Source organism: Homo sapiens, chromosome 17, assembly GCF_000001405.40.
Source record: "Homo sapiens chromosome 17, GRCh38.p14 Primary Assembly".
NCBI classification, from domain to species: Eukaryota; Metazoa; Chordata; class Mammalia; order Primates; family Hominidae; genus Homo; species Homo sapiens.
Window position 1 is genome coordinate 43,098,952 of NC_000017.11, and position 13,384 is coordinate 43,112,335.

The following is a 13,384-nucleotide window of genomic DNA, read 5'->3' on the forward strand; positions in this document are numbered from 1 at the left end:
GGATTACAGGCATAAGCCACCACCCCGGCTAATTTTTTTTTTTTTTTTTTTAGTAGAGATGGGGTTTCTCCATGTTGGTCAGGCTGGTCTTGAACTCCCGACCTCAGGTGATCCGCCCACCTCGGCCTCCCAAAGTGCTGGGATTACAGGCGTGAGCCACTGCGCCTGGCAATTCAGCTCTTCTTAAAAGGCTTCCTCATCTAGTACAATTTATCTTGGAACTAAATACTGTAGCAATCCATCATGTTTTTTCTTATTGCTACTCTCCATCTTTCCAAAACATATTTACACATATTTAAAACCAGATATTCTTTCTTTTGCTCTCTTTTTTTTTTTTAGATGGAGTTTCGCTATTTTTGCCCAGGCTGGAGTGCAATGGTGCGATCTCGGTTCACCGCAACCTCCACCTCCCGGGTTCAAGTGATTCTCCTGCCTCAGCCTCCCGAGTAGCTGGGATTACAGTTATGTGCCACCACACCTGGCTAATTTTTTATTTTTTGGTACAGACAGAGTTTCTCCATGTTGGCTAGGCTGGTCTCGAACTCCCGACCTCAGGTGATCCACCCACTTTGGCCTCCCAAAGTGCTGGGATTACAGGTGTGAGCCACCATGCCTGGCCTCTTTTGCTCCCTTTTTAAAGTAAGATTCTTCAAGGTGGGAACTGCGTCTTTTACATTTTTTATAACTCACCATAGGGCTCATAAAATTCACTTCCCAAAGCTGCCTACCACAAATACAAATTATGACCAAGATTTTTGGCAAAACTATAAGATAAGGAATCCAGCAATTATTATTAAATACTTAAAAAACCTGAGACCCTTACCCAATTCAATGTAGACAGACGTCTTTTGAGGTTGTATCCGCTGCTTTGTCCTCAGAGTTCTCACAGTTCCAAGGTTAGAGAGTTGGACACTGAGACTGGTTTCCTGCTAAACAGTATGGTAAAGAACAGTCAAGCAATTGTTGGCCAGTTCTGTGCTTTTCCTCCTGAAGAGAAACTTGACACCATGGACAAAATAAATTGACCATCATCAGTCAGCTAACATGTATGATGCCTGGAAAAAATGCCCAGGAATTTACACACTAAAATGTCTGGGGCTGGGAGCGGTAGCTCATGCCTATAATCCCAGCACTTTGGGAGGCTGGAGCAGGACTGCTTGAGGCCAGGAGTTCAAGACCAGCATAAGCAACAGAGTGAGACCCAGTCTCTACAAAATAATAGTAGTAGTAATAATAAAATGTGTGGGATATGTGTGATTTGAATTTTTTTTTCTGTTGTCTTAAATTTTTCAAACCTGATTATGTATTATTTGTGTAATTTTTGAAGTATTAATATAGCATATTTTGAAGCTGATACTTGATATACATTCCAATCACATCTGATAACTTTTTTTTTTGTTTTGGGGGGTGTACAGAGTCCTGCTCTGTCACCCAGGCTGGAGTGCAGTGGCGCAATCTCAGCTCACTGCAACCTCCGCCTCCTAAGTTCAAGAGATTCTCCTGCCTCAGCCTCCTGAGTAGCTGGGTCTACAAGCGTGTGCAACTATGCCTGGCTAATTTGTGTGTGTGTGTGTATATATATATACATATATATGTGTGTGTGTGTGTATATATATATATAACATATATATAACATATATATATTATATATATATAACATATATATAACATATATATATGTTATATATATATAACATATATATAACATATATATATATATATATATAATATATATATATATATATATATATGTAATCCCAGCACTTTGGGATATATGTGTATATATGTTTTTTTTTTTTGAGACAGAATCTTGCTCTGTTGCCAGGCTAGAGTGCAGTGGCGTGATCTCGGCACACTGCAACCTCCACCTCCCTGGTTCAGTTGATTCTCCTGCCTCAGCCTCCCGAGTAGCTGGGACTACAGGCGTACACCACCACGCCTAGTTAATTTTTGTATTTTTAGTAGAGACAGGTTTCGCCATGTTGGCCAGGCTGGTCTCACACTCCTGACCTCAGGTGATCTGCCTGCCTCGGCCTCCCAAAGTGCTGGGATTACAGCCATGAGCCACCGTGCCTGGCCAATAACATTTTTAAAAAGGATAAATGATGACAATAAAACCCCAGCACTCCTAAGAACATTTAGTATAGGAACGAGTATTTAAAAGCCCAACATTACTTTTTTTTTCCTTCCTTTTTAGCTCTATATCTTTTGAAAAATGAATGCTGGTACTGTGAGAACTACTTTTATTTTATTTGTATTTTTTTAGACAGAGTCTTGTTCTGTTGCCCAGGCTGGAGCGTGGTGGCGTGATCTCGGTTCACTGCAACCTCTGTCTCCTGGGTTCAAGTGATCCTCCCACCTCAGCCTCCCAAGGAGCTGGGACTACATGCGCACGCCACCATGCCTGGCTAATTTTTGTATTTTTTGTAGCGATGGGGTTTCACCACATTGCCTAGGCTGGTCTTGAACTCTAGGACTCGAGATCCACCCGCCTTGGCCTCCCAAAGTGCTGGGATTACAGGCAAGAGCCACTGCGCCCAGCTAGAACAATTACTTTTTTTTCTTTTTTGAGACAGAGTCTCACTCTACGGCCCAGGCTGGAGTGCAGTGGCGCGATCTTGGCTCGCTGCAACCTCCGCGTCCTAGGTTCAAGCAATTCTTGTGCCTCCGCCTCCCGAGTAGCTGGGATTACAGGTACGTGCCACCACACCCAGCTAATTTTTGTATTTTTAGTAGAGATGGGTTTCACCATGTTGGCCAGGCTGGTCTCAAACTCCTGACCTCAAATTATCTGCCTGCCTCAGCCTCCCGAAGTGCTGGGATTACAGGTGCAAGCTACTACGCCCAGCCCCAGAATGATTACTTTTTAAGATCTCCATCATTCATGCACATATAAGTAACAACAGAGCAAATCACTACATTTTCTTTAACAATTACACCTTTTAAGTTCAAGTAATTTTCCCTTTTTTTAAAAGATAGGGTCTCAGTCACCTGCGCTGGAGTCCAGTGGCACAGTCATAGCTCAACTGCAGCCTTGACTCTCTATGTTAAAGCAATGCTCCAGCCTCAGCCTCCCAAGTAGCTAGGACCACAGGTGCATACCACCACGCCCAGCTAAGTTTTTTTGTTTTTTTTTTGAGACAGAGTCTCACTCTGTCGCCCAGGCTGGATCGCAGTGGCGGGATCTCGGCTCACTGCAAGCTCCACCTCCCGGGTTCATGCTATTCTCCTGCCTCAGCCTCCCGAGTAGCTGGGACTACAGGAGTCCGCCATCACGCTCAGCTAATTTTTCTGTGTTTTTAGTAGAGACGGGCTTTCACCATGTGAGCCAGGATAGTCTTGATCTCCACACCTCGTGATCCACTTGACTCGGCCTCCCAAAGTGCTGGGATTACAGGCGTGAAGCTTTTTTTTTTTTTTTTTTGAGACGGAGTCTCGCTCTGTCGCCAGGCTGGAGTGCAGTGGCGCAATCTCGGCTCACTGCAACCTCCGACTCTCAGGTTCAAGTGATTCTCCATCCTCAGCCTCTGGAGTAGCTGGGATTACAGGCACGTGCCACCACACCCAGCTAATTTTTGTATTTTTAGTAGAGACCGGGTTTCACCATGTTGGCCAGGGTGGTCTCAATCTCCTGACCTCATGATCCACTGGCCTCAGCCTCCCAAGGTGCTGGGATTGCAGGTGTTAGCCGCCGCACCCAGCCAGTTCTTTTTTTTTTTGCAACTAGATCTTGCTTTGCCGCCCACGCTGAAGTGCAGTGGAGTGATCATAGCTCACTGTAGTCTACATCTCCTGGACTCAAGTGATCCTTCTGTCTCAGCTTCCCAAGTAGCTGGGACTACAGGCACACACCACCATGCCCAGATAATTTAAAAAAACTTTTAATATAGACAAGGACTTGCTATGTTGCCCAAACTGGTCTTGAACTCCTGAGCTCAGGCAATCCTCAAGCCTCCTAGTGCTGGAATTACAGGCGTGAGCCACGGCACCCAGCTACTTTTTTTTTTTTTTAATTGCAGAGACAGTGTCTCACTGTGTTGCCCAAGCTGGGCTCAAAGGACCTCCTACCTCAGCCTCCCAAAGGGTTGGGATTATAGGCATGAGCCATGGCACCCAGCTGAAGTAATTTCCAAATGCTTAAAAATATCAGTGACCTTATGGCTATTTTAGATAAGCATCACAGAGCAGATAAAGCTCCAAAGCAAGGAAGGGCCTATAAGAGCTCTCTTTTTTGGCCGGGCTTGGTGGCTCACGCCTGTAATCCCAGCACTCTGGGAGGCCAAGGAGGGTGGATCACCTGAGGTCAGGAGTTCGAGACCAGCCTGACCAATATGGTGAAACCCCGACTCTACTAAAATTACAAAAATTAGCCAGGTCTGGTGTCGTACCCCTGTAGTCCCAACTACTCAGGAGGCTGAGGCAGGAGAATCACTTGAACCTGGGAGGCGGAGGTTGCAGTGAGCTGACATCGTGTCACTGCGCTCCAGCCTGGGCGACAGAGCGAGACTCTGTCTCAAAAAAAAAAAAAAAAAAGAAATCTGTCTTTTTGGTGTATCTGATGGGGATCTTGCTATGTTGCCTGGGCTGGTCTCAAACCTGGACTCAAGTGATCCTCCCATTTCAGCCTCCTAAGTAGCTGGGATTATAGGTACATTCACCTCACCTGGCTGTAAGGTCTCTCTCTTGATTATATCAGGTACCCTGACCTTCTCTGAACTCTAACTGATTAGAACACTTGTCTAACCACTTAATATACCATCTTTCCTTCTTCACTAACTTTTTATATAAATCTATGAGCATCTAGCACATTCACTAACATATTCACAATGCTCAATAAAGAGATGTTGCCAGAATAAATGAAAATGGTTTTACCGGCCGGGCACAGTGGCTCACACCTGTAATCCCAGCAATTTGGGGAGCCGAGGTGGGTGGATCACCTGAGGTTAGGAGTTCGAGACCAGCCTGGCCAACATGATGAAACCCCGTCTCTACTAAAAATACAAAAATTAGCCTGGCATGGTGGCGCGTGCCTGTAATCCCAGCTACTAAGGGGGCTAAGGCAGGAGGACTGCTTCTAGCCTGGGCCACAGAGCAAGACTCCATCTCAAAAAAAAAAAAGAAAAAAAAAAGAAAAGAAGAAGAAGAAGAAGAAGAAAACAAATGGTTTTACCAAGGAAGGATTTTCGGGTTCACTCTGTAGAAGTCTTTTGGCACGGTTTCTGTAGCCCATACTTTGGATGATAGAAACTTCATCTTTTAGATGTTCAGGAGAGTTATTTTCCTTTTTTGCAAAATTATAGCTGTTTGCATCTGTAAAATACAAGGGAAAACATTATGTTTGCAGTTAGAGAAAAATGTATGAATTATAATCAAAGAAACCAAGAGAAACCCTATGTATGCTCTTTGTTGTGTTAAGACAATGCATTAAGGTTACCTGTGATTTTTTTTAAAAATCAAATTTTAAAAAATCAACTGGAAATTTTACTCCTAGGAAACAAAAACAAATACACAGACCATCAAAGTTATTTAGAGTCCTTGTTTTCTACCTTAACACTAAGAAATTTGCCTATCAATACTGTATTTCACTAAAGCTAAGACACCAACAATGTAAGTTGCACTATTATTTTCTGTATCACTAAGAAAGAAAGCACACAAATTAAACAAATGACACACCCTCAATAGTAAAATGTTCCCAATTTCAGAGATGTTAAGATGTGAAAAATGTGCACCTTACGATTGATAAAATAAGGTGTGAGACCAGTGGGAGTAATTTTTTAAAAATAGATTACAGATACAGAACTAAAATTAACCTAGACTAAAAGGTCTTATCACCACGTCATAGAAAGTAATTGTGCAAACTTCCTGAGTTTTCATGGACAGCACTTGAGTGTCATTCTTGGGATATTCAACACTTACACTCCAAACCTGTGTCAAGCTGAAAAGCACAAATGATTTTCAATAGCTCTTCAACAAGTTGACTAAATCTCGTACTTTCTTGTAGGCTCCTGAAATTAAATTGTTTGAGAAACACACTCAGCAAGTGATTATCAACCTTTTAAGGACACTAAAATAAGAAAAGACATGTAAACAAATAAAAATAAGATGCAGCAACAGTAGAAAACCTCTATAATCAATACATCATTGACATCTGTATAAACCGTGTGATGGCAGTGATTTAGTAACTTTTTGTCATTCATTTAAGCCTACCAAATGCCTAAAATTATCTGATATAATACTGCCCTAAATCCACAGCAGATATAATGCATTGCATAGAAAACTAGAGTACTTTTTTTTTTGTTTAATTTAGAGACAGGGTCTTGCTCTATTGCCCAGGCTAGCATGCAGTGCCACAATCATAGCTCACTGCAGCCTCAGACTTCTGTACTCAAGCTATCCTCCCACTATAGCCTCCCAAGTAGCTAGGACTATGGGCATATGCCACCATGTACATTTATTTATTTATTTTGTTGGTAGTGATGGGGTCTCACTATGTTGCCCAGGCTGATTTCAAACTCCTGGCCTCAAGCAATCATCCCACCTCAGCCTCCTAGAGTGCTAGGGTTATAGGCATGAGCAATCACACCCTGCTGAGCTTACTGTTCTTAACATCTGAACCCTGCCCAATCCCTCACTTAGTTCTGCCTCTCAAGGATTTCTGTCAAATTATGATTATACTTCTTTGAAAACACATAGATAACAATGTCCAAAGGGAGATTTGGGTTTAGTAAAGTGGAATTAAAGCACAATTCATTCATTCCTTTAAGCATCTGAGTGCCTACTATGTACCAAACTTAGGAAAAACAGTGTTGAGACAGACAAAATTACTACTCTCATAGAATTTACATTGTAGCAGAAGAGATACACAATATATAAATACATTGTGTTTGTGTAAATAATTAGATAGAAATAAACACACACCTGTGAACCCCAGCACTTTGGGAGGCCGAGGTGGGCAGATCACCTGAGCTCAGGAGTTACCAGCCTGGGCAACATGGTAAAACCTCATCTCTACAAAAAATACAAAAATTGGCCGGGCATGGTAGCGTGTGCCTGTAGTCCCAGCTATTTGGGAGGCTAAGGCAGGAAGAGGCTGGGAGACAGAGGCTACAGTGAGCCGAGATCACGCCACTGCACTCCAGCCTCAGTGACAGAGCAGGACCCTGTCTTAAAAAAAAAAAAAAAAAGAAAAGGAAACACAATCAAAAATATAAAAACAAGATTAACAGACAATGGGGGCACGGCGATACAGCCCTACTTTACATAAGTCTGCAAGTTTTTACACTAGAAGCATTAGAGAAAGGCAGTAAGTTTCTAATACCTGTATAAGGCAGATGTCCCATAAAACTTTCAGGAAAATAACTTTGGAAATAATTTACTGTGTGCTAAAAACTCTTTTATAAATTTTTCTGATGAATGGTTTTATAGGAACGCTATGTTATTAAATAATTTCTACTTTTTCCTACTGTGGTTGCTTCCAACCTAGCATCATTACCAAATTATATACCTTTTGGTTATATCATTCTTACATAAAGGACACTGTGAAGGCCCTTTCTTCTGGTTGAGAAGTTTCAGCATGCAAAATCTATAAATTATAAAGAAAGAAAGAACAATTTAATTTACTTCCTTTTGTAGAAAGAATACTCAAAAGGCAAATAGCCATGAAAAGATAATCTCACAACTGCCCTTAAGAGCCATTTAAAAAGTAATGGCAGGTGAATTACAAGCAATAGTTTCCTAATTGTTTTTGGATGCTGCATAAGCAAAAACCTAAACTACATAAGCAATGATCTATGAAAACTGAACTTACATGCATATGGCTTACTGTTATGATCACATAAAACTTAATAAAAGTTAATATGGCATATTTAATGATATATTCATAATTATTTCATGCTGCATAATCAAATATAAACGGTAAGTAGTTCATGTAAGATGCTTATAATTAGTTTAAAATCTCAACACCTCACCACAAAGCTATAGTAATCAAGAAAGTGTGGTAATAGCATAAGAATAGACACATACATCAATAAAATGGAATTGACAGTACAGAAATAAACTCATACATACATCTGTGATCAAGCGATTTTCAACAATAATAAATACCAAGACAATTTTTTTTTTTTTTTTTTTTGAGACGGAGTCTCGCTCTGTCTCCCAGGCTGGAGTGCAGTGGCACGATCTCGGCTCACTGCAAGCTCCACCTCCTGGGTTCACGCCATTCTCCTGCCTCAGCCTCCCGAGCAGCTGGGACTACAGGCGCCCAGCACCATGCCCGGCTAATTTTTTTATTTTTAGTAGAGACGGGGTTTCACCATGTTAGCCAGGATGGTCTCCATCTCCTGACCTCGTGATCTGCCCGCCTCTGCCTCCCAAAGTGCTGGGATTACAGGTGTGAGCCACCATGCCTGGCCGACGATTTTTATTTTCTTAATTTTTTTTTTTTTTTTTTGAGACAGACTCACTCTATCACCCAGGCTGGAGGGTAGTGACACAATCTCAGCTCACTACAACCTCCACCTCCTAGGCTCAAGCAATTCTCGTGCCTCAGCCTCCCGAGTAGCTGGGATTACAGACATGCACCACCATACCCAGCTAATTTTTTGTATTTTTAGTTTCACCATGTTGGCTAGTCTTGAACTCCTGGCCTCAAATTGATCCATCTGCCTTGGCCTTCCAGAGTGCTGGGATTACAGGCATGAGCCACCGTGCCCAGGCCAAAGATGATTAAATGGGAAAATAATACTTTTTGTGTTTTTAACAAACAGTGTTGAGACAAAAGTATAACCACATGTAAAAGAATGAAATTATACTCCTATCTCACACCAAATAACAAAAGTTAACTCAAAGTGGATCATAGACCAGAAGTAGAGAGAGCAATGGTGATGATAATTAAAAGCAGCGATTCACTCATACAACCAATATTTACTATGTCTAGTACTATTCTAGATGGAGGGGATTCAATAGAAAAGCAAAATAAGATCCTGCAAAATAAAACATAAAGGACATAATATACTGGTGAAGGGGGTGACTAGGTAGGGAGTAAATAGCAGACACTGACAATGAAGAGACCCAGGAAAGAAAAGATTAAGGGGCTAAAAAAAAAGTCACTAGGGCTGTGCACGGTGGTCCACACCTGTAATCCCAGCACTTGCGGGGTGGGTGAATCACTTGAGGCCAGGAGTTCAAGACCAGCCTGGCCAACATGGTGAAACCCTGTCTCTACTAAATATTCAAAAATTAGCTGGGTGTGGTGGTGGTGCACTGTAGTCCCAGTTACTCGGGAGGCTGAGGCATGAGAATAAGTTGAACCTGTGAGGCGGGGGTTACAGTGAGCCAATATTGCACCATTGCATTCCAGCCTGGGCAACAGAGTGAGATTGTGCCAAAAAAAAAAAAAAGGCATTGGGAATTGTGAGAAAAGACACTTAGAGAATATTTTTTACTAGCCAGGTAATTTAACATTTATTACCCTCTCTTGGCCGGGTGCAGTGGCTCATGTCTGCAATCCCAGGAGGCTGAGGCAGGCAGATCACTTGAGGCCTGGAGTTTGAGACCAGCCTGGCTAACATGGTGAAACCCTGTCTCTACTAAAAATACAACAAAATTAGCCAGGCGTGGTGGGCACACGCCTGAGTCCCAGCTACTTGGGAGGCTGAGGCATGAGAATCACTGGAACCCAGGATGGCAGAGGTTGCAATGAGCTGAGAAGAGTGCCACTGCACTCCACCCTGGGCAACAGAGGAAGACTCTGTCTCAAAAAAAAAAAAAAAAAAAAAAAAAAGGCCAGGAGCGGTGGCTCACGCCTGTAATCCCAACACTTTGGGAGAGGTCAGGAGTTCAAGACCAGCCTGACCAACACGGAGAAACCCTGTCTCTACTAAAAATACAAAAATTAGCCGGGCATGGTGGCATATGCCTGTAATCCTGGCTACTCAGGAGGCTGAGGCAGGAGAATCTCTTGAACCCGGGAGGCGGAGGTTGCAGTAAACTGAGATCGCGCCATTGCACTCCAGCCTGGGCAACAAGAGCGAAACTCCATCTCAAAAACAAAACAAAACAAAACAAAAAAACCCCAACTATATCTATATCTCTATCTATCTACCTACCTATCTATCTGTCTACAGTCTTGAACTCCCGACCTCAAGTGATCGCCTGCTTCAGCCTCCCAAAGTGCTGGGATTACAGGTGTGAGCCATTGCGCTGGGCTACTTTCTATCTTTATTTTTGTACAGATGTGGTTTCACTATATTGCCCAGTCTGGTCTCGAACTCCTGACCTCAAGTGATCCTCCTGCCTTGGCATCCCAACGTGCTGGGATTACAGGCATGAGCCATCAAGCCTGGCCTTATCTTCATTTTTATAGAGTAGAGGCTTGTCCCAGATCACACAGTAATTAAGCAATGAAGGTTATATTGGATCCAGAATTGGATTGTAGCAAAGCCCACAATCTTCCTTTTTTCTTTTTTGACATGGAAACTAAGTCTGGAGAGAGGCACCCACAATCTTCCTACCAGAGAAAGTGAATGTAGGTAGGTAAGGTCAAGGAGACTTGGGTCCTTCTTCGCCGATATAGATGCTTCAAGTACCATATTGCACTCAACAAAACAATGACTCTATAGTTTGGAAGATGAGGCTGTCAAAAAGCTACCTCCACTGTACATAAGTACCTTTAAAACTCAGAATAGAGGCTCCCACTCCTTCAGAATCTACAAATACTACATATACTCTAGTATAATGGATCAAGAAGGCATCAAGCATTACTCCAGCAAATAGTACAATTGAACAATTCAGAGCAGGGGTAGGGAGGAAATTCCCTTATGATAGTACTGCAGAATATAGTACAGTAGAGTGACAAGCTAAGCTGTCTCGTGCTGTAGTCTATACAATTATATAAATAATTCAGTGGAACTAGATACGCAAAAATCAACCAAGATAAGGATTCGAATCTTTTTTTTTTTTTTTAGACGGAGTCTCGCTCTGTCTCTCAGGCTGGAGTGCAGTGGCACAATCTCTGCTCACTGCAAGCTCTGCCTCCTGGGTTCACGCCATTCTCCTGCCTCAGCCTCCTGAGTAGCTGGGACTACAGGTGCCCGCTACCACGCCTGGCTAACTTTTTGTAATTTTAGTAGAGGCGGGGTTTCACCATGTTAGCCAGGATGGTCTCGATCTCCTGACCTCGTGATGTGCCCATCTCAGCCTCCCAAAGTGCTGGGATTACAGGCGTGAGCCACCGCACCCGGCCTCGAATCTTTCTTTATGCTAGAAAAAGAATACATGTATAAAGGTTGTTAACTAAACTTAAAAGAAAATGAACTTGTATATGACTTGAAAAGACAGAGCTAACTAAAATACTGGCCAGGCATGATGACTCACACCTGTAATCCTAGCACTTTGGGATGCCTAGGTGGGCAGACGGGTTAAGCCCAAAGTTCAAGACCAGCCTGGGAAACATGGCGAAACCCCGTCTCTACAGAAAACACAAAATTTAGCTGGATATGGTGGTGTGCACTTACAGTCCCAGCTACTTGGGAGACTGAGGTGATAGGATCGCTTGAGCCTAGGAGGTCAAGGCAACAGTAAGCCTCATGATCGCACCACTGTACTCCAGCTGGGACAACAGAGTAAGACCCTGTCTCAAAAAAAAAAAAAAAAAGTAGCTGTTGAAAAATTTAAGTTACATTTATTGCTCACATTCTATCTCTTTGAACAATGTGGTTCTAGATCTTCAAAAAAGTATTACAGGCTGGGTGCGGTGGCTCATGCCTATAATCCCACCATTTTGGGAGGTGGAGGTGGGCGGATCACTTGAGGTCAGCTCAAGACCAGCTTGGTCAACATGGTGAAACATGGTCTCTACTAAAATAAAAGGCTGGGCGTGGTGGCTAATGCCTGTAATCTCAGCACTTTGGGAGGCTGAGGTGGGCGGATCACCTGAGGTCAGGAGTTCGAGATCAGCCTTGTCAACATGGTGAAACCCTGTCTCTACTAAAAATACAAAAATTAGCCATGCATGGTGGTGCACGCCTGTAATCCCAGCTACTTGGGAGGCTGAGGCAGGAGAATCACTTGAACCAGAGAGGCAGAGGCTGCAGTGAGCCGAGATTGTACCACTGCACTCCAGCCTGGGCAACAGAACAAGACTCCATCTCAAAAAAAAAAAAAAAAGTATTACACATTGCATTTTTTTGTTTGGAAAGTTCAAACTAATGCATGACTGCCTTAAGAAATATTTTCTAGATTGGTATTATTATCTTTTTTTATAGGCTTCATAAAAGATTTCAGAACTGGCTGGGCAAGGTGGCTCATGCCTGTAATCCTGGCACTGTGGGAGGCCAAGGCGAGCAGATCACCTGAGGTCAGGAGTTTTGGACCAGCCTGGCCAACATAGTGAAACCCCGTCTCTACTAAAAATACAAAAATTAGCCAGGTGTGGTGGCACATGCCTGTAGTCCCAGCTACTCGGGAGGCTGAGGCAGGAGATTTGCTTGAACCCAGGAGATGGAGGTGGCAGTGAGCTGAGATCATGCCACTGCACTCCAGTCTGGGCAACACAGTGAGACTCCGTCTCAAAACAAAACAAAAAAAAACAGCCGGGCGTGGTGGCTCACACTTGTAATCCCAGAACTTAGGGAGGCCAAGGCGGGCAGATCACGAGGTCAGGAGATCGAGACCATCCTGGCTAACACGGTGAAACCCTTTCTCTACTAAAAATACAAAAAAATTAGCTGGGCGTGGTGGCAGGCGTCTGTAGTCCCAGCTACTTGGGAGGCTGAGGCAGGAGAATGGTGTGAACCCGGGAGGTGGAGCTTGCAGTGAGCCGAGACTGCACCACCGCACTCCAGCCTGGGCGACAGAGCGAGACTCCGTCTCAAAACAAAACAAACAAAAACAAACAAACAAACAAACAAAAATAAAAAAAAGATTTCAGAACTTTAGGCTTGCTTGGGTCAATAAAGTTGTTTTATTTTTAGCAATTAGAGTTTATCCGTAGAAAATACAATTAATACAACAAAAGCATGGGGGTATCGCTCCCAGGCTCCCAGCTTTCTCATCATATAGATCAAAGTGTTATTCAGATTATATTGATATTACAGAAGAGATTTCATGAAAAAGTCGATCTATCACATGGGCATTATACTGGACTTTTTTTTTTTTTGAGACGGAATCTTGCTCTGTCGCCCAGGCTAGAGTACAGTGGCACGATCTCAACTCACTGCAGCCTCTGCCTCCTGGGTTCAAGAGGTTCCTCTGCCTCAGCCTCCTGAGTAGCTGGGACTACAGGCATGTGCCCCCATACCCAGCTAATTTTTGTATTTTTAGTAGAGATGGTGTTACCATATTGGCCAGGCTGGTCTCGAACTCCTGACCTCGTGATCCGCCCACC

The 13,384-nt window shown here is 43.2% G+C and overlaps 1 protein-coding gene across 368 annotated transcripts in view; it reads right to left on the bottom strand.

Moving 5' to 3' along the window:
• The window catches only part of BRCA1 (BRCA1 DNA repair associated), a 126,033-nt gene that overhangs the window by 54,657 nt on the left and 57,992 nt on the right, over positions 1–13,384 (bottom strand). For 154 of the 368 annotated variants that reach the window (NM_001408458.1, NM_001407922.1, NM_001408469.1 and 151 more), the window contains 4 exons: positions 7,505–7,582; positions 5,917–6,005; positions 5,171–5,310; positions 824–929 (listed from right to left, as the gene is read on the bottom strand). The exons of 2 other annotated variants lie outside the window; for them this stretch is intronic. In NM_001408458.1, coding sequence (NP_001395387.1) covers positions 824–929; positions 5,171–5,310; positions 5,917–6,005; positions 7,505–7,575 — 406 coding nt within the window. In that variant the 5' untranslated portion in view covers positions 7,576–7,582. Of the gene's footprint in view, positions 1–823; positions 930–5,170; positions 5,311–5,916; positions 6,006–7,504; positions 7,583–11,513; positions 11,634–13,384 lie in introns of all 368 variants that reach the window. 212 more of the 368 variants (NM_001407931.1, NM_001407747.1, NM_001408470.1 and 209 more) reach the window with 11 other exon arrangements.